This window comes from Homo sapiens, chromosome 17, assembly GCF_000001405.40.
Source record: "Homo sapiens chromosome 17, GRCh38.p14 Primary Assembly".
In the NCBI taxonomy this organism is placed as follows: domain Eukaryota; kingdom Metazoa; phylum Chordata; class Mammalia; order Primates; family Hominidae; genus Homo; species Homo sapiens.
The window spans coordinates 38,946,125-38,968,492 of record NC_000017.11 but is presented as its reverse complement, the minus strand read 5'-3'; the positions used below and the strand labels follow the sequence as shown (position 1 = coordinate 38,968,492).

The following is a 22,368-nucleotide window of genomic DNA, read 5'->3' as shown; positions in this document are numbered from 1 at the left end:
TATCAAAGGGACCTTGAGTATCAGTCTATCTAAAGTAGCTCTCCGCCAACACACACACACCCCATCATTCTGTCTTATTTCCTCTGTCACGCTGCTCTCACCGGAACTGCTCTCAACATCTGTAGATGCTCTGTCTGTTCATTCTATCTTCCCCATTAGGCTAATAAACTCCATTAAAGCAGGAAACGTATCTGTCTTGTTCTCTATTCCATCCTTAGGGCCTACTCCTGTGCCCGGCCCAGAGCAGGCTTCAATAAATAGTTACAGAATGAATGAAGAAATGAATGAATGAGAATTTAATCTTCTAGCCAGGAAGGCCTAGCTAGAAAGATTTGTCTTGATTTCATCTTGAGAGGATGGAGACACACATCTTCCTTTGATTCCAGACAGATTTATTATTTATGTGTTTATTTAGAGACCGGGAGCGGGGTTATGGCTGGGGGTGGGGGTCTCCCTATGTTGCCCAGGCTGGTCTCAAACTCCTGGACTCAAGGGAGCCTCCCGCCTCGGCCTCCCAAAGTGTTGGGATTACAGGCGTGAGCCACCGCACCGGCAAGACAAATTTAAAAAGGAATGTCTGGAGGTTTTTTTCCACCAAAAGGTTTGATGAAACCCCTTGTAACTTGCCCTACTGGAGTCAGTGGGGGTGGGAGGAACTCAAAAATTGTCTCAAAACTAGGTGAAGGGAAAGGCAGTGGAGCAGAGACGTGGCTCGCCACGTTCAGGATCTTGGGCTACACCCTCCCCTTCCCCACACCGTAACGGCTCCAGCCCCTTCTTGTCTTCAGCTTGGAGCGAAGGGTGGCTGAGGCCTGAGTTTGGGCTCCAGGAACCTCGCCCTTGTTAGTTATTCATGAGACGGAGGGCACCATGGGAGCTGGCTCTCTTGCTATTCATAAAGCGGGGAGGCGGGAGGCGGGGGGGAACCTCCTTCCCGCTAGGGCTTCTGGGAAGATCTACAATATTCATGAGGGAGGCGGGCACTACGAGAGCTGAGGCTGCTTGCTATTCATGAGGGGGCGGGCCTCCTTCCCGCGGGGGCTCTTGGGAAGATTCTACAATATTCTAGAGGCCGCGGGGACGCCTGGTGGGTAGGGCTGCAGCTCCGGAGCCTACGGGAGTGTGACCCTCTCGCCTCCTGGCGGGAAGCTCTTGAGGAGATATTTTCTTTTCTAAACACTAAGAAATTTGAGGATGGTGGGGCAAAACGACTAACTCCCACTTTCCTGTGACTCTGTAGCCGGAAAAACTGTCAAAATCTGTGGTAAAAGAGGGTTTTTTTTCCCAGTATTTTATTGCGATAATTTCATCTTTCATGGACTGAAGGGAGCGAAACATGTACCCCGTGTGGTCTGATTCTCCTGTTGACCAGTTTGTCCTTTAGGCTTCCCTAGTTTGCGGCTTTGGAGATGTTTGGGGGCAGCTGCCCGACAGATGGGGTGGGGCCCTTACAAGAGTTTTATGTTAAAACAGACATCCCTGTGAATGTAGTTTTTATCTTAAAGGTGTGGGGGGCGGGGAGGTTCATCCAATTGAACCCTCAAAACCTTTCACGCGCGGTCAAAATTAGTGGGATAGAACAGGGGGCATGAAACATCATTTTATTATTATTATTTGGGGCTGTGATTCTTATTCGCTAGAGGGGTGAGCGGAAACCAGAAATAATTTAGGATTATACCTTTAGAATTTTCACAAAAGCTTGCTTTTTCCCTACGAAACGTCCAGCTCTGAGTGAGGAAAATAAGGAACTATAAGTGGAGACTTGAGTTTTAGAAGAATTTGGGCTTATCATTTTTAAATTTTTGTTTATATTTATTTTAAACATGTATGTAGTTCACAGTTGACACAGTGAAGTCCCCGCCTGGTGACTGACAGTCTTTGAAGAGCCCACGGGCCCAAGCCCCACTGTCCACATTTCTCAGAGAAACAGGAAGAAGCCAAGGCCGGATTTATGCTATTGTAATAAAAATGCTTTAAAACACCTACTGTGTTGGCCGGGTGCGGTGGCTCACGCCTGTAAATCCCAGCACTTTGGGAGGCCGGGGCAGGCGGATCACGAGGTCAGGAAATCGAGACCAGGCTGGCTAACACGGTGAAACCCCGTCTCTACTAAAAATACAGAAATTAGCTGGGCGTGGGGGCGGGCACCTGTAATCCCAGCTACTAGGGAGGCTGAGGCAGGAGAATCGCTTGAACCCGGGAGGCGGAGCTTGCAGTGAGCCGAGATCGCGCCACTGCACTCCAGCCCAGGAGACTGTGCGAAACTCCATCGCAAACAAACAAACAAAACGCCTACTGTGAAAAGTTAAGGTTACAAACAGCCTTATGGATTAAACAAATTAAGATTATTTTACTTGGTGGAATGACACATAGCCATTAAAATATGATTACTTGTAGAAGGTTATTAGCATGGAAAGAGAATTCATTGAAAAAAGCAGATTACAAAGTATTATATATAGTGATCCCTCTTTTTTGTTAAAAAGAAATATATGTATGTAAAAGTCTGAAATTATATAAACCAAAGTGTTTATAAGTGAACTTAATTTTTTTCTTCTTGTTTAGCTGTATTGTGTAAAGTTGTTATTTGTGTAATTATTTTTTTTTTTTTTTGAGGCAGATTCTTGCTCTGTCACCCAGGCTGGAGTGCAGTGGTGTGATCTCGGCTCACTGCAACCTCCGCCTCCCGGGTTCAAGCGATTCTCCTGCCTCAGCCTCCAGAGTAGCTGGGACTACAGTCGCGTGCCACCATGCCCGGCTAATTTTTTTTTTTTTTTTTTTTTTTTAGTAGAGAAGGGGTTTCACCGTGTTAGCCAGGATGGTCTCGATCTCCTGACCTCGTGATCCACCGGCCTCAGCCTCCCAAAGTGCTGGGATTAAGGCGTGAGTCACCATGCCCGGCCTATTTGTGTAATTTTAATGATAATTTTAAAATACCTCCTAATTTAAGTGTTCACTGAATACTGACCCCAATCGCTGTGGTATGGTTTCAAAGGAGGTTCAGAGTGTACTTTTCACTAAACACTAAATTTCTTTGTTATGTTTTCAAATGTGTAACCAATTTTAAATTGATGTAAGTTGATATGTAACATTTCAAGATGTATAAGTAACAATGTTACTTTAGCAATTTGTAGAAAGGAGAAAATGCATTTTGGCCAGATACAATTATATATCTTTGATGAAAATGTCTTAGTTGTTACTTCAGAAACAAGGAGCCTTCGATTGGAGTTGTAATTATGCGTATATGTATATGTATACACAAAAGACATTGTTTTCTGAATTAGAACAATAGAGTGACACAAAGTCGCTGTGTGGTACACATGTTTAAATAATTATTTAGTGTAATGGGCGGGCGTGGTGGCTTTCGCCTGTAATCCCAGCACTTTGGGAGGCTGAGGCTGGTGGCTCACCTGAGGTCAGCAGTTCCAGACCAGCCTGACCAACATGGTGAAACCCCGTCTCTACTAAAAATACAGAAATTAGCTGAGTGTGGTAGCACACGCCTGTAATCCCAGCTACTAGTGGTGGCACACGCCTGTAATCCCAGCTACTTGGGAGGCTGAGGCAGGAGAATCACTTGAACCTGGGAGGGGGAGGTTGCAGTGAGCTGAGATCGCGTCATGCCACTGCACTCCAGCCCGGGCAGTAGAGCGATAATCTGTCTAAAAAAAAAATTATTTAGTGTAAGTAAATAATCAGTGATTTTAATAAGTTGCATTTAATGAGTTTAAGAAATATTTGTCTTTGAAATCAAGATGCGTAGGCCCTTTCTAAGATTCATCAGTGACTATTATTATTATTGTTATTTTTTGTTTGTTTGTTTGTTTGTTTTTCGAGACCAAGTCTCACTGTGTTGCCCCAGGCTGGAGTGCAATGACATGATCTCAGCTCACTGCAGCCTCCGCCTCCCGGGTTCAAGCGATTCTCATGCCTCAGCCTTCAGATTAGCTGGGCTCACAGCAACCTCCGCCTCCCAGGTTCCAGCAATTTTCCTGCTTCAGTCTCCCAAGTAGCTGGGATTACAGGTGCACACTGCCATCCCTGGCTAATTTTTGTATTTTTTGTAGAGACGGGGTTTCGCTATGTTGGCCAGGCTGGTCTCGAACTCCTGACCTCAGGTGATCCACCCGCCTTGGCTTCCCAAAGTGCTGGGATTACAGGAATGAGCCACTGGGCCCAGCCTAATTTTTGTATTTTTAGTAGAGACGGGGTTTCACCATGTTGGTCAGGCTGGTCTCAAACTCCTGACCCCAGGTGTTCCACCCACCTCCGCCTCCCAAAGTGCTGAGATTACATGGGTGAGTCACGTCACTCGGCCAGTAGCTATTATTAACAGAAGGTGGAATTGAGGGAAGAATTATTACTATTCATGTATTTATTCTAGTCTTATTAACACACAGTGGCTTGTGCCTATAATCCCAGCATTTTGGGAGGCTGAGGTGGGAGGATCACTTGAGCTCAGGAGTTCAAGACCAGGTTGGGCAACACAGGCAGACACTGCCTCCACAAAAACAATTTTTTTTTTTTTACTTTAGCTGGGCATGGTGGCTCTGTGCCTGTAGTCCCAGCTACTCAGGAGGCTGAGGCAGGAGGATTGTTTGAGCCCAAGAGTTCAAGACTGCAATGAGCTATCATCATGCCACTGCACTCCAGCCTGGGCAACAGAGCAAGACCTTGACAAAAAAAAAAAAAACAACAAAACAACAACAACAACAACAAAAACCAACAAAGAAAAGAAGAAAGACTTTAATTCACTGCTTATTTGAGTATTATACAGCACATAATTGGTAATAGTAATGCCACCTACTTTTTTGTGTTGGGATTACAGGCGTGAGCCACCATACCCAGCCTATATTCTTTTAAAAAGTCAAAATATTAATGTAGCTTTAAAATTTCATAGTAATGTTTTTCTATTTATTTAAAACTGAGTACTGACTTTTTTTGTTCGAAACAATAAAAAAAGAGATGAAAATAGAGACTTTAAAACTATTTAAATTTTAGCTGTAATAAAGTAAGTGGGGCCAGGTTCAGTGGTTCATGCCTGTAATCCCAGCACTTTGGGAGGCTGAGGAGGGCAGATCACCTGAGGTCAGGAGTTCGAGACCTTCCTGGCCAACATGGCAAAACCCCGTCTCTACTAAAAATACAAAATTAGCTGGGCATGGTGGCACATGACTGTAATCCCAGCTACTTAGGAGGCTGAGGCAGAAGAACCACTTGAACTCGGGAGGTGGAGGTTGCAGTGAGCCGAGATTACGCCATTGCACTCCAGCCTGGGCAACAGAGCAAGACTCCGTCTCAAAAAAAAACCAAAAATCTTTTGCAAATACAGAGAAACAGCTATTGCATATCGTACTATCAACCTCTTCGTTTAAAAAAAAAAATCTCTTTCTTGCTTTAATTTCCTTTCTTTCTTGTCTCTTGTACTTTGTTTTTCTGACCAGGATAAATTTGTGAGACAAGAAGAAGAATGGCATCCAGAATAAATACAAATTTCACTTTGATTCCCAACCAGAAACTTAGACGTAGTAATCGTCAAACCAGCTGTTATTCCAAGACCCTTGGCTCAGGCTTTCAACCCATATCAACATTTGGAAATTTTAAAGCCTTACCATTGGAAATATTCCAGATAATTTTAAAATATTTGTCAGGTGAGGTTTGGGAACTTATGAATAGCCTACACAAGACACTAGAGTATTTTAATTTTTCCCAAGAACTAGTTTGTCATCTTGGGCCATGCTAAAATGTTAATGACATTCATGTTAAGTGTTTAAGTGTTTATTTTCTAAAGTTTCATTATTGTCAGGTAAGGAGTACAATGAGAAAGCACAATACTTAAATAATTATTATTATTACTATTATTATTATTATTATTATTATTATTATTTTGAGATGGAGTTTTGCTCTTGTTGCCCAAGCTGAAGTGCAGTGGCGTAATCTCGGCTCACCGCAACCTCCACTTCCCGGGTTCAAGCTATTCTCCTGCCTCAGCCTCCCGAGTAGCTGGCATGCGCCACCATGCCAGGCTAATTTTGTATTTTTAGTAGAAATGGAGTTTGTCCATGTTGATCAGTCTGGTCTCGAACTCCTGACCTCAGGTGATCTGTCCGCCTTGGCCTCCCAAAGTACTGGGATTACAGGCATGAGTCACTGCACCTAGCCCTAAATTAATTTTTTTAAATCTTCCTTTGAACACAGCAGTACTTAAACTCTTGAAAACATGCCTGTAATTATGATATAGTACCTTGATTGGTAAATCCAAACATGTCTCTAATTCATTGAGAACCAGATTTTAAACAATTTTAAGGTTTTTCCCTTTTTTCCCAAAGGGATGATGATGGTGATAATGATGACGATTGAGTTAACCTATAAGTTAATAGACTGTGTTAATAGTGACGTTCTTGCATTTAAGCCATTGATACATACACATATATATTTCTTTTGGTAGTGAAGGATATCAGCATGCTAAGCATGGTGTCCAAAACAGTCAGCCAACACATTATTAATTATATCTCAACCTCATCAGGAAGCAAAAGACTTTTACTACAGGACTTTCATAACCTTGAGCTGCCTGACAGGAGACAAGACTCTGCTATACTGGAGCACTACAGATCTCTAGGTAACTTATGTAATGAGAATTGCAACAAGTAAAGAACTGTGCTTAATTAAGAGAAACTTAGTATACAATTCTGTAAGGCCAGTAGGAAATGGAATATATTCCAAAATATGCCTGTTTCTATGATGTTTTTACTCTTTAGTGTGAGAACACTCCCTTAACCAGTTATCTTTAAAGGTGAGAAAATGCATTTTGATGTAAAGTGTCAATTCTTGAGATTTCATATAGATATAACGTCACCGATGCTTAATGTCTAGTGGCTTATCAGGTTAGGAAATTGATGTATTTTCTATGCGTCACTTCCTGTGGATCAAGTGAGTTTTATCTCTTTATCTCTTTTCCCTTTCAACCATAATCTAGTCCTTTAAAATAGAAATTTAAACACATTATTATGGAAGACTATTTATCCTCTCAGCAGAAACTACGGTTTTTTAAGTACATTTACTAAGTGGCTAAGCTATAATTAAACTGACCTTATCAAAGCAAATTCTGTATAATCTTTCTTCCTTAATTTGTAATCATTTATGCCTTTTACTCCATTCATTGATTTCATTGTCCCAGAGAGTGCTGAAGTAAAATTCTAATTTTGACTTGACTTAATAACACCGATTTAATTATGAAACCACTTTATAATTCATCAAAGCATGGCAATAAAACCAAATGTCAAGATGGTGTGATTTAAATAAAGGCATAACAGTAAGTTAAGTGAATACTGCCTTTTAGTAGCCCAAGGATGCTTAGATTTAAGATATTAGGAATATGTGGATATGTAAATATATCAAAATGTATTTGATGATTACCTGTTTATTTAATAAGACCAAATGAAAGAAAAGTATCTGATCTGATTACAGTGTTGTTGGTTTCAGTATTTATGATTAGGCTTAGTAAAGCCTGTAACAGAATATGGAAACTACTTTTTCCTACTTCTCATTATAAATATAATTTTTCGGCTGGCTGCGGTGGTTCACACCTGTAATCTCAGCACTTTGAGAGGCCGAGGCAGGCAGATCACCTGAGGTCAGGAGTTCAAGACTACTCTGGCCAACATGGTGAAACCCTGTCTCTACTAAAGATACAAAAATTAGCCGGGCATGGTGGCACATGCCTGTATTCTCAGCTACTTAGGAGGCTGAGGCAGGAGAATTGCTTGAACCCAGGAGATGGAGGTTGCAGTGAGCCGAGGTCACGCCACTGCACTCCAGCCTAGGTGACAAAGCGAAACTCCATCTCAAAAAAAAAAAAAAAAAAAGAGAAAGAATTATTTTTAATTCATCGTTAGTTGTAGAGGAAGTGGTACCTGGGTAACACAGTGGAGCTTATACTTTGGTTTTGATCTGAAAGAAATTTTTCTCCCTGATCAAGTCTCAATTGCTTAAACTAACAAAAACACTAAGACAATTATATGTATAATTCAGTAAAAAGTACAAATATGTATTGATCTTAATTGCTTTTTTAAATGGTTTTATTCATGTAAGGATTTCAACTTTCTATTTAATTTTGATGCAAACACTTGGTTTATGACTAATTCTTTAAGTAAATGTTTGATATACTTACCATTTTCTCATATCGTCATTCTTACCTGATCTATTATTGTTTTCACTATTTTTTTTTTTGAGATGGGATCTTGCAGTGTTGCCCAGGCTGGCCCGTACTCCTGGGCACAATCGATCCTCCTGCCTCAGCCTCCTGAGTATCTGAAACTACAGGCATGTGTGACTGCATCCAGCCTTATTTTCAGACATTAAAATAAGATTTTCAGAATGCTGTGCTTTGGGCCGGGCGCAGTGGCTCATGCCTGTAATCCCAGCACTTTGGAAAGCTGAGGTGGGAGGATCGCTTGAGCCCAGGAGTTCAAGACCAGCCTGGGTAACATAGGGAGATCCCCATTTATACAAAAAATTAAAAAATTATCTGGGCATGGCGGCCCAGCTGAAAGCTGAAAAAAATCATGAGGTTCAGGCATATATTTTCCTACCATATATCTTATTTTTAGTTTGAGGACATTTGCCCTCATAGGAATGTTAACAGTGTATTGCCATTTTAGGAAAATAGAATGTTTAAAGTTAGAGGAAACAAATTAGAGGACAAAACCTGTTGTCCCAGCTACTCAGGATGCTGAGGTGGGAGGGTTACTTGAGCCGCAGAGGTTGAGGCTGAAGTGAGTCAATTGTGAAAATGCACTCCGGCCTTGGCAACAGAGTGAGACCCTGTCTCATATTCATACACACACACACACACACACACACACACACACAATGCTTTGAAGAATAATTTTCTTTTTTTTTTTTTTTTTTTTTTTTGAGGCAGAGTCTCACTCTGTTGCCCAGACTGGAGTGCAATGGCACAGCCTCGGCTCACTGCAACCTCTGCCTCCTGGGTTCAAGCGATTCTCATGCCTCAGCATCTCCAGTAACTGGGATTACAGGCATGCACCACCATGTCTAACTAATTTTTGTATTAGTAGAGACAGGGTTTCACTATGTTGGCCAGGCTGGTCTCGAACTCCTGTCCTCAAGTGATCTGCCCTCCTCAGCCTCTCAAAGTGCTGGGATTACAGGAGTGAGCCACCGTACTCGGCCAATTATAAATTTTAATTTGTTTCTTCACATAAAACAGAGCAGATGGCCAATGTGGAAAGAACATTACATCTGACTCTATTTAGGGAAGAACTTTAAAAAAGTTAGTCTCTAAAGGGTATAGCAGAGCACCTGTGGTTGTTTTTTTTTTTTAAACAGCCAGTATTGGGTTTTATGGTAAGTTGTAATCCTTAAAAATAGGAGTTTTATATTAGGCAGTCAGCATACCAAAATAAGGCTGGATGCAGTCACACATGCCTGTAGTCCCAGATACTCAGGAGGCTGAGGCAGGAGGATCAATTGTGCCCAGGAGTAGAATTCTAAGAATTAATGCCTGGAATTCCTTAGTTATTATATGCTGTGAAACTGGATACCAATGTATGAAGGGAAAGAACTCAGCTTAAAAACCAAACACTGAAAAATGTCTTTTTTTTCCCTTAGTTGTCAAGTATGAAAAATGTCTTTTTATATACAAAAATAAAGAGGGTTTTTGTTTAAAACAATTCTGTTCATGTGTTACTCAAACATAGCAACTTCTAAAAATAAGTTAGACTCCTGTAGATTCTTCAGAATTATATAAAGTAATTATAATATGTAAAAAAGTAAATAGAAGATGAAAGCTGAAAAAAGTCATAAGGTTCAGGTATGTATTTTCCTACCATATATCTTATTTTTAGTTTGAGGACATTTGCCCTCATAGGAATGTTAACAATGTATGGCCATTTTAGGAAAATAGAACGTTTAAAGTTAGAGGAAACAAATCATACACTTCCTGTCACTGTAGCTCAAGTTACACATCTCACTGAGAAATTGAGGAGTTTTTTTTTTTTTCTTTTTAAAGTATCTGTACACAAAATCTTATACATTCTTAACATGCAAGTCCCATAAAAGGATATCTTAGAAGGAAGAGATGGATATTTCATCCTAACTGGATACTTTCTGTGGGGAAAAAAAAAATCTAGCTTCTGAAATTTTAAGTACTTATGACTTAAATTTTTGTATTTGGAGAGAGGGATACACAACCTGTTTTCTCGGCCCAACGCAATTTATTCCCAGTGCTTTGGGAGGTCAAGGTGGAAGGATTACTTGAGCCCAGGAATTCGAGACCAGCCTGGGCAACAAAGCAAGACCCTGTCTCTACAAAAAAAATGTTTTTTAAAAATTGGCTGGGCTTGGGCCGGGCATGGTGGTTCACACCTGTAATCCCAGAACTTTGGGAGGCCGAGGCAGGCGGATCATGAGGTCAAGAGATCGAGACCATCCTGGCCAACATGGTGAAACCTCGTCACTAAAAATACATAAATTAGCTGGGCGTGGTGGTGTGCACTTGTAGTCCCAGCTACTCGGGAGGCTGAGGCAGGAGAATCACTTGAACCTGGGAGGTGGAGGTTGCAGTGAGCGGAGATCACGCCACTGCACTTCATCCTGGCAACAGAACGAGACTCTGTATCAAGAAAAATAAAATAAAATTAGCTGGGCTTGGTGGCACACACGAGGATCACTGGAGCCCACAAGGTCGAGACTGCAGTGAGCCATGATGGCATGCCACTGCACTTCAGCCTGGGCGACAGAGTAAGACCTTGTCTCAAAAAAAAAAAAAAAAAAGAAAAATCAGTTTTCTCATTCTTTCCATGTTTTAGATTAACAACTCTTAAAACATATTCCTTTGTGGACATGAGGTTAATTTCAAGAGATATTGAAATCTGTTTTCTGTGGAATAAAGACAAAATAAAATTTCTCTAGTGTGTCTTTGTCTTATTGTATCTTTTATACTCTATGTATTTTTCCATGTGTCCTATAGTAGCAATTTAACAATTTTTTGCAAGATTTTATGCCAAGGCCTCTTAGATGAGCATCAGAGTCACTTGGTAAATACCATAAATGGAAAGTGTTTTGCACCCTTCCTCCCAAACTTTCTCTTAGAAATCATATCAACTCATAGTCCACTGTGATATACCATACTTGACTTTCAGGAAACATTATTCTGTGCTCTATTGATGTTCTTAATTGTATTGTTGTCATTTTTTCTTATGTCTCTTTACTTTCTTAGGTCTACTGTTTAAAAGATGCACATTGCTGCTACCCACCAAGGAAAGGCTAAAATACATTCACAAGATACTCACAGAAGTAAGATCATACTTCTAAATTAGTTTACAATCTTGATTTCCAGTAAAGATATTTTATTATTATCTTATGCTCATTTTACTCTATATTAGTAGAATTTCATGAATTAGCACTAAAAAATTGATTTATTATAATCTAATACTTTACCAAGTACTTCGAGATTATATAATGTCAAAATGTAGTAATCTTTCACTTGTTTATAAAACAATTTTCATATATAACTAAGCACATCATTCAAGTTTATTAGGTTTGTCAGAGTATAAAGTATATTTTACACCACATACAAATCCTGAGGAAGTTTTAAAGTAGTGATGTAGATATTGTATTAAAGTGAAATAATTTCTGAATTTTGAAATTTTATTGTTTAAATGTATAGAAACATGGGAAAGTATTTTAATATATAAAATGACAAACATTTTATGATAATAGACTTGGAAATGTGTATTAATATGTTTGGGCATAGTCTCTTTATAAGACTCAATTTTATATACAAATCCAAGCATATGTCCAACTCTTGATGGTTCAGTTCTACACTCAGTGGTATCTGCTGTTTCTGATACACTGACTTTTTCTTTTTTTTTTTTTTTTGTTGAGACAGAGTCTCGCTCTTGTCACCCAGGCTGGAGTGCAGCAGCATGATCTTGGCTCACTGCAACCTCCACCTCCTGGGTTCAAGCTATTCTCCTGTCTCAGCCTCCTGAGTAGCTGGGATTACAGGCACCCACCACCACACCTGGCTAAGTTTTGTACTTTTAGTAGAGATGAGGTTTTGCCCTGTTGAACAGTCTGGTCTCGAACTCCTGACCTCAGGTGATCTGCCCACCTTGGCCTCCCAAAGTGCTGGGATTACAGGTATGAGCCACCTTGCCCAGCCAATTTTTTCATGTCAGCATTTGCATTGAGTTCTGGTCTATATTATTATAGCAGCTTCCCAGATGACCTTTCTGTCATCCAATTCATTACTCCCCAAACCGCTCTGTATGCTGAATCAAGATTACTCTTCCTAAAGCATGACATTCATAAATAAAACTTTTTTTTTTTTTTGAGATGGAGTCTCACTCTGTCCTCCAGGCTGGAGTGCAGTGGTGCGATCTCGGCTCACTGCAAGCTCCACCTCCCAGGTTCACGCCATTCTCCTGCCTCAGCCTCCTGAGTAGGTGGGATTACAGGCGTGTGCCACCACACTCGGCTAATTTTTTTTTTTTTTTTTTTTTTTTTTTTGGAGATGGAGTCTCGCTCTGCCGCCTAGGCTGGAGTGCAGTGGCACGATCTCAGCTCGCTGTAACCTCCGCCTCCCAGATTCAAGCAATTCTCCTGCCTCAGCCTTCCAAGTAGCTAGGATTACAGGCGTGCGCCACCACGCCCAGCAAATTTTTGTATTCTTAGTAGAGACAGGGTTTCACCATGTTGGTCAGGCTGATCTCGAACTCCTGACCTCGTGATCCTCCCACCTCGGCCTCCCAAAGTGCTGGGATTACAGGCGTGAAACCCCGTCTCTACTAAACCGGCAAAAGGTTTTATACAAGAAGTTATAAAACATGGTGAAACCCCGTCTCTACTAAAAGTACAAAAATTAGCCAGGCCTGGTGGTGTCTGTAATTCCAGCTACTTGGGAGGCTAAGGCATGAGAATCACTTGAACCCAGGAGGCAGAGGCTTCAGTGAGCCAAAGTCATGCCACTGCACTCCAGCCTGGGTGACAGAGCAAGACTCCATCATAAAAAATAAAAATAAAATATTATTATTAAATAAATTGTGAACTCCTTGAGAGTAGAGACTTTTTTTTTTTTTTTGAGATGGAATCTTGCTCTGTCACCCAGGCTGGAGTGCCATGGCACGGTCTCGACTCACTGCCAGCTCCGCCTCCTGGGTTCATGCCATTCTCCTGCCTCAGCCTCCTGAGTAGCTGGGACTACAGGTGCCCACCACCACACCCGGCTAATTTTTGTGTATTTTTAGCAGAGACGGAGCTTCACCATGTTAGCCAGGATGGTCTCGATCTCCTGACCTCGTGATCTGCCCACCTCGGCCTCCCAAAGTGCTGGGATTACAGGCATGAGCCACCGCGCGCAGCCGAGACTTTTATACTACTTTTATAATCCCCACCTATGTAACCAATGTTGATCAGAATAGGTGCTGAAAAAATTCTTGCTTATTTCCATTAAATTTGAATGTCAAACCATTGTTCCACCATTGTCAAACTATAGTTTCACTGACAAGGAGGTATTAACATTGTTTTCTTTACAGGTTTCCTGCTTTAAATTCAATGGCTGTGCAGCTCCTATGCAGTGTTTAGGATTAACATGTTATGGCATGTTTTTACAGGTACATTTTTTTTAATCAGAGAAGAAAAGGGATACCTTTGGAACTGATAACAAATAGAATATCCAATCTCTCTTTTCATAGGTTAATAAAGTTATAATAATCTTAAAAAGAGCAAAATAAAATAAAGATTTGAGAATGTATTAATCTAATAGTGTTTGCTATCTCAGATTTTTGTTTTGAGTTTCTCAGTGGTAAAAAATGTTTGACATTTATTTATCCCCCAAACCATTCTATATGCTGAATGAAGGTTACTCCTCCTGAAGAATTGGTGTCCTCAAAGTTTCTACTAGTTGTAAAGATTAGAAATATTATGAGGTGGTGTGTGTGCATGCGTGTATCTGTATCTATATAATGAGTTTAGTCTTGGGCTGGTTATTTAAGGTGTGATATTAGTAATCAGATGTATTATTTCAAGAACATTTTGACTAATCTTTTATTGTAAACAAAGAAGATAATAACTAGCGTTTATTCATCTTAGTGTGTGCCAAACACTGTTCTAAGCAGTTTACATGTATTGACTAATTTATTTTTATTTATTTATTTATTTATTTATTTTTTGAGACGGAGTCTTACTCTGTCACCCAGGCTGGAGTGCAATGGCATGATCTCGGCTCACTGCAACCTCCACCTCCTAAGTTCAAGCGATTCTCCTGCCTCAGCCTCCTGAGTAGCTGGGATAACAGGTGCCCGCCACCACGCCTGGCTAATTATTTGTTTGTATTTTTAGTAGAGACAGGGTTTCACCATGTTGGTCAGGCTGGTCTCGAACTCCTGACCTCAAGCAATCCACCCACCTCGGCCTCCCAAAGTGCTGAGATTACAGGCGTGAGCAACCACACCCGACAACATGTATTAACTAATTTAAATTTACAACAACCTTGTGAGGCAGGCACTGCACCCGTAAGAATCTTGCTGTGCTCAGCCTACCAGCCACCAACTCCTACTCACCCAGATTCCAGGGGTCTAAGCCCTCCTACTAGTCTTCTTCCAAGACAGATTTTTCTTATTTAATTTTGTTTTTTACTTATTTCTTTCTTTCTTTGGGACATGTAATACCTATGTATGTATTCTTGTACAATTCCAAGGGTAGAAAATGTATAAAGTAAAAAGTTAGTCTCTCTCCTTGTCCACTGAGTTTCCTTCACCAGAAATAATCAGTTTTCAGTTTCTTGTATGTCCTTCCACAGGGAATAAGATTAGTTTTTATTAATTAATTAATTTATTTATTTTTGAGGCAGAGTCTCACTCTGTCGCCCAGGCTGGAGTGCAGTGGCACACTCTCGGCTCACTGCAGCCTCCACCTCCCAGGTTCAAGCAATTCTCCTGCCTCAGCCTCCCAAGTAGGTGGGATTACAGGTATGCGCTACCACACCCAGCTAATTTTTGTATTTTTAGTAGAGACGAGGTTTCGCCATGTTGGTCAGGCTGGTCTCAAACTCCTGACCTCAGGTGATCTGCCCACCTCAGCCTCCCAAAGTGCTGGGATTACAGACATTAGCCACCACGACTGGCCAGATTAATTTTTTTTTCTTTTTTTGAGACGGAGTCTTGCTCTGTCACCCAGGCTGGAGTACAGTCGCGTGATTTCAGCTCACTGCAACCTCGGCCTCCCGGGTTCAAGTGATTCTTCTGCCTCAGCCTCCCAAGTAGCTAGGATTACAGGGGCCTGCCACCACACCTAGCTATTTTGTGTGTGTGTGTGTGTGTGTGTGTGTGTGTGTGTGTGTGTGGTTTTTTTTTTAGTAGAGACAGGGTTTCACCATGTTGGCCAGGCTGGTTTCAAACTCCTGACCTCAAGTGATCCATTTGCCTCGGCCTCCCAAAGTGCTAGGATTACAGGCATGAGCTGCTGTGCCCAGCCAATGAAAGTGTTTTGTTTGTTCACATTCAAAAGTCATAAATAGCCAGGCGTAGTTGCTCACACCTGTAATTCCAGCACTTTGGGAGGCTGATGCAGGCCGATCACCTGAGGTCAGGAGTTCAAGACTAGTCTGGCCAACATGACAAAACCCCATCTCTACAAAAAAAAAAAAAAAAAAAGTCATAAATAAATGCTCAGAATTGTCACATTGAAATTGGATCATTCTCATTTATAAGCAATATCATAAATGACAACTAGGGGAGGTCAAAGGGGTTCTACTCTAGTCTTAAAGCCACAGCATGGTTGTAAGTGAAATATCTAAACTGTGTTCAGGGTTTTAGTTACTTGCCTCACATTGTCGAAGTTCAGGATTCAGTACCATTTAAACCTTCTCAAACAAACAAATAAAAAAGTTATCTCCGTTGCATTCCAGCCTGGGCAACATAGTGAGATTGAATCTCAAAAAAAAAAAAAGTTCTCTGAAAAGATACTTCCTTTCCAACCAAAAAGAAACTGGATTTTGGAGCTTCCCAAGTTTTGTTTATGTAAATTTGTTATTAATTTGATTGTTCCATAATGGGTAAAAATTGCACATCACCTTGATCATATGCTAAAAACAGTTACACTCATAAGGCAGTAGTGACTTGTGTTGTTTTTGTTTTGTTTTGTTTTTGAGACAGAGTTTCTGTCTGTTGCCCAGGTTGGAGTGCAGTGGCGCAATCTTGGCTCACCGCAGCCTCTACTCAGGGATCAAGTGATTCTCCTGTCAGCCTCTCAAGTAGCTGGGACTACATGTGCGTGCCACCGAGCCCAGCTAATTTTTTGTATTTTTAGTAGGGATGGGGTTTCACCGTGTTAGCCAGGATGGTCTCAATCTCCTGACCTCGTGATCTGCACACGTTGGCCTCCCAAAGTACTGAGATTACAGGTGTGAGCCACCGCACCCGGCCTGTTTTGTTTGTTTTTTGTGACAGAGCTTTGCTCTTGTCGCCCAGGCTGGAGTGCAATGGCATGATCTCATCTCACTGCAACCTCCACCTCCCAGGTTCAAGCAATTCTGACTCAGCCTCTCGAGTAGCTGGGATTACAGGTGCCCGCCACCACACCTGGCTAATTTTGTACTTTTAGTAGAGACAAGGTTTTACTATGTTGTCCAGGCTGGTCTCAAACTCCTGACTGCAGGTGATCCACCCACCTTGGCCTCCCAAAGTGTTGGGATTACAGGCGTGAGCCACCATGCCTGGTGTGACTTATGTTTTGACTTGATAGTCTGAATATCCACAATGTTTTCTTTATTTTCCTCAGACCTTAACAGCAGGTTGGGATGAACTTGAGTGCCATCGCGTTTATAATTTCTTATGCGAACTGACTAATCTCTGCCGCAAGATACAAATGGCTGTCTGCAGCAAACCAGGTAAAAAACTATAATTTGCATATAATATACAGAGATTAAAATAGAAAAAATAAACAGAGTTTTAAAAATGTAATTAAAAGTAATTTGGGCCAGGTGTAGTGGCTCATGCCTAAAATCCCAGCACTTTGGGAAGCCAAGGTGGGAGGATCACTTGAGTCCAGAAGTTCAAGAGCAGCCTAGGCAACATAGCGAGACCTTGTCTCTACAAAAAATAAAAAATTATCCAGGCATGGTGGTGTGTGCCTGTGGTCCCAGCTACTCAGGAGGCTGAGGTGAAAGGATCACTTGACCCTGGGAGGTAGAGGCTGCAGAGAGCTGTGATCGCACCACCACACTCAACCTGAGCAACAGAGTGTGACCCTGTCTCGATAAATAAAAAAATAAATAGTGGGCCAGGTGCCGTGGCTCACAGCTGCAATCCCAACACTTTGGGAAGCCAAGGCAGAAAGATCCTTGAGGCCAGGAGTTCAAGACCAGCCTGGGCAATGTAACAGACCATGTCTCTACAAAAAATTAGCCAGCCATGATAGCATGTACCTGTAGTTTCAGCTGCTCAGGAGGCTGAGGTGGGAGGATAGCTTGAGCCCACTAGACTGAGGCTGTAGTGAGCCAAGATCAAGTAACTGCACTCCAGCCTAGGCAACAGAGACCCCTTTTCAAAAGAAATAAAAATAAAATAAATTGTGGCACACATCTACAGTAAAAGGACAAAGAAATGTAAGGGAATGATAAATATCGAATAAGACAGTGGGGCAAAAAGCAATATGAGATTGGAGAAAGAGGGCTTCAACTGTATTGATGATATTTTATTCCTTAAGCCAGCTGGTAGATACAAAGGAGCTCATTATAGCATCCTGTAAACCTCTCTATATACCAGAAATATTTCATATTTTTAAATTATAGAACCTTATATCGAGCTGTTTCCCTCTGAGAAACTCCCACAATATGCACAAGGAGACATGCATATGAATGGTCATTGCAGGCAGAGGGCAGTGGCTCATGCTTGTAATCTCAGCACTTTAGGAGGCCGAAGTGGGAGGATTACTTGAGCCTAGGAGTTAGAGACCAGCCTGGGCGACATAGCAAGATCCCGATCTCCAAAAAAAAAAAAAAAAAAATTAGGCGGGCATGATCCAGTCACTGCACTCCAGCCTGGGTGACAGAGGAGGCCCTCCATCTTAGAAAAAAAAACAAAACAAACAAAAAAGACCAGGTGAATGGATAAACAAAATATGGTATATGCTGCAACATGGATGAACCTTGAAAACATTATGCTAAGTGAGAGAAGCCAGGAACACAGGGACAAATATTACATGATTCTACTTACATGAGATACCTAGAACGGGCAAATTCATAGAGACAGAAAGTAGATTTGAGGTTACCAGGAGCTGAGGGGAGGGGGGAGTGGGGAGTTACTGCTTAATGGTTACAGAGTTTGTGTTTGAGATGATGAAAAACTTTCGGAAATAGTGTGGTGGTTGAACAACAGTGTAAATATAAATGATGCCACTGAATTGCGTACTTAAAAATGGTTAGAATGGCAAATTTTATGTGATCTATATTTTATCACAATATAAGAAATTTAATAATATACTATAAACCATTGAATTGCACACTTTAAATGGTTGAATTGTATGGCATATAAATTATATTTCAATAAAGCTGTCATAAGAAAACAGTGATAGACTGGGCAAGGTGGCTCACACCTGTAATCCCAGCTACTCAGGAGGCTGAAGTGGATCACTTGAGCCCCTGAAGGTTGAGGCTGCAGTGAGCCATGACTGCTCTACAGTATTCTAGCATGGGCAATGGAGTGAGACACTGTCTCAGAAAAGCAAAGAAATAGTAATATACCATTTCACATTCCATTAGGATGGCTAGAATCAGAAAGTTCGATTTAAATAATAAGTGTTAGTGAGAATGTGACAACAATCCTCATATATTGCTGGCGGGAAAGTAAAATGGTGCAGTCAGTTTGCAAAATAGTCTGACAGTTTCTCAAATGATTAAACATAGAGTTATATGATCCATCAATTTCACTTCTAGGTATATAGCCCCAGGAGAAATGAAAACATGACCACACAGAAACTTGTGCATGAATGGTTTTGTTGTTGTTGTTGTTGTTATTGTTGTTTTGTTTTGTTTTGTTTTGTTTTGTTTTGAGACAGGGTCTGGCTCTATCACCCAGGCTGAAGTGCAGAGGTATGGTCTCAGCTCACTGCAACCTCCACTTCCTGGGCTCAAGCAATCCTCCAACCTCAGCCTCCCGAGTAGCTGGGACTACAGGCACATACCACTATGCCCAGCTAATTTTTCTGGTATTTTTTATAGTGATGGGGTTTCACCATGTTGTCCAGCCTGGTCTCAAACTCCTGGGCTCAAGTGATCTGCCTGTCTCAGCCTCCCAAAGTGCTGGAATTACAGGCATGAGCCACCATGCCTGGCCTACATGAATGTTAATAGCAGCATTATTCATAGTAGCCAAAAGATGGAAACAACTCAGATGTCCATCAATGGGTCAATAGATAAACAAAATGTAGTATTACATCCATACCATAGAATATTATTTGGCCATTAAAAAGAATGAAGTGCTGTGGGGGTTGGGGGAAGGAGAGCATCAGGAAGAATAGCTAATGGATGCTGGGCTTAATATCTAGGTGATGGGGGCATGGGGGCAAGGGAAGGGATAATATTAGGAGAAATACCTAATGTAGATGGTGGGTTGATAGATGCAGCAAACCACCATGGCACATGTATACCTATGTAACAAACCTGCACGTTCTGCCCATGTATCCCAGAACTTAAAGTATAATAAAAATAAATAAATAAATATCTAGGTGATGGGATGATCTGTGCAGCAAACTATCATGGTACACGTTTACCTGTGTAACCTGCACATCTTGCACATGTACCTCTGAACTTAAAAGTTGAAGGAAAAAAAAAGAATGAAGTGCTGATATATGCTACAACATGGATGAACCTTGAAAACATTGTATTAGCTGAAATAAGCCAGTCACAAAATGCCACATACTATATGATTTCATTCGTATAAAAATCCAGAATAGGGGCGGGGCGTGGTGGCTCACACCTGTAATCCCAGCACTTTGGGAGGCCAAGGCAGGTGGATCACCTGAGGTCAAGAGTTTGAGACCAGCCTGGTCAACATGGCAAAACCCCATGTCTACTAAAAATACAAAATAATCAGCCAGGCGTGGTGAGGAGCACCTGTGATCCCAGCTACTCGGGAGGCTGAGACAGGAGCATCGCTTGAACTCGGGAGACAGAGGTTGCAATGAGCCGAGATCACACCACTGCACTCCCGCCTGGGTGACGAGCAAGACTCTGTCTCAAAAAAAAAAAAAAAAAAAAAAAATCCAGAATAGGGAAATCCATGGAGATGGAAAGTAGAGTATTGGTTGCATAGGGCTAGGGGTGGTAAAGGACAGAGAGATAACAGGATGATAGCAAAAAGAACAGGATGTCTTTTTGAAGTGATGAAAATGTTCTAAAATTGGCTGTGGTGATGGCTGCACATATCTGTGAATATACTAAAAACCACTGAATTGTACACTTTAAATGGGTAAATGGTATGGTATGTGATTTATATCTCAGTAAAGCTTTTGAAAAAGTAGTCCTATGTTAATCTAATTTTTTATTTTTCCTTTTTTTGGAGACAGATTCTGGCTCTGTCGCCCAGGCTAGAGTGCAGTGGTATGATCTCAGCTCACTGCAAGCTCTGCCTCCCGGGTTCACACCCATTCTTCTGCCTCAGCCTCCCAAGTAGCTGGGACTACAGGTGCCCGCCACCACACCCGGCTAATTTTTTTGTATTTTTAGTAAAGACGGGATTTCACCATGTTAGCCAGGATGGTCTCAATCTCCTGACCTCATGATCCACCCGCCTCAACCTCCCAAAGTGCTGGGATTACAGGCATGAGCCACCACGCCTGGCCGTTAATCTAAAATTTTTATATCCGAGTGTGGTAACTCATGCTTTGTAATCTCAACACTTTGGGAGGCTAAGGTGGGAAGATCATCTGAGGCCAGGAGTTCAAAACCAGCCTGAGCAATATAGTGAGACCTCTGTCGCTACAAAAAATAAAATTAGCCTGTGGTCCCAGCTACTAGGGAGGCTGAGGTGGGAGGATTGCTTGAGCTCAGGAGTTCAAGGTTGTAGTGAGCTATGATCAGTCATGCCACTGCACTCCAGCTTGGGTGACAGAGCAAGACCCCATGTCTATCAACAACAGCAACATAACATTTTCTTTTTTTGTTGTTGTTTAGACAAAGTCTAGCTCTGTCACCCAGGCTGGAGTGCAGTTGTGAGATCTCAGCTCGCTGCCACCTCCATCTCCAGGGTTCAAGTGATTCTCCTGTCTCAGCCTCCTGAGTAGCTGGGATCAAAGGCACGTGCCACTGCCGCTGCCTGGCTACTATATATATATATATTTATATATATGTTTATATATATATGTTTATATATATGTTTATATATATGTTTATATATGTTTATATATATTTATATATGTTTTTATATATTTACATATATTTGTATATGTTTATATATATTTACATATATTTGTATATGTTTATATATATTTACATATATTTATATATGTTTATATATTTATATATGTTTATATATATTTATATGTTTATATATGTTTATATATATTTATATATGTTTATATATATATTTATATATATGTTTATATATTTATATATATTTTTATATGTTTATATATATTTATATATTTATATATTTATATATGTTTATATATCTATATATATTTATATGTTTATATATATTTTTATATGTTTATATATATTTGTATATTTATATATATTTATATATATTTATATATTCATATATATTTATATATATTTATATATTCATATATATTTATATATATTTATATATTCATATATATTTATATATATTTATATATTCATATATATTTATATAGTTATATATATTCATATATTTATATAGTTATATATTCATATATATTTATATAGTTATATATATTCATATATATTTATATAGTTATATATATTCATATATATTTATATAGTTATATATATTCATATATATTTATATAGTTATATATATTCATATATATTTATATAGTTATATATATTCATATATATTTATATAGTTATATATATATCTATATATTTATATATAGATATATATATTTATATATATATCTATATATTTATATATATTTATATATTTATATATATTTATATATTTATATATATTTATATATTTATATATATTTTTATATATTTATATATATTTTTATATATATTTATACATATTTTTATATTTATATATATTTGTATATATTTATATATATTTTTGTATATATTTATATATATTTTTATATATTTATATATATTTTTATATATTTATATATTTTTATGTATTTATATATTTATATATGTATATA

General features: G+C 39.9%; 1 protein-coding gene across 4 annotated transcripts in view; it reads left to right on the top strand.

Moving 5' to 3' along the window:
- The first annotated feature begins 1,089 nt into the window (after positions 1-1,089).
- FBXO47 (F-box protein 47) overlaps positions 1,090-22,368 on the top strand; it is a 30,972-nt gene continuing 9,693 nt past the window's right edge. For 2 of the 4 annotated variants that reach the window (NM_001008777.3, XM_011524867.3), the window contains exons 1-6: positions 1,090-1,264; positions 5,442-5,648; positions 6,446-6,616; positions 11,240-11,316; positions 13,560-13,637; positions 16,804-16,912. In NM_001008777.3, coding sequence (NP_001008777.2) covers positions 5,468-5,648; positions 6,446-6,616; positions 11,240-11,316; positions 13,560-13,637; positions 16,804-16,912 — 616 coding nt within the window. In that variant the 5' untranslated portion in view covers positions 1,090-1,264; positions 5,442-5,467. The remainder of the gene's footprint in view (positions 1,265-5,441; positions 5,649-6,445; positions 6,617-11,239; positions 11,317-13,559; positions 13,638-16,803; positions 16,913-22,368) is intronic. The other 2 variants (XM_011524865.3, XM_011524866.4) reach the window with 2 other exon arrangements.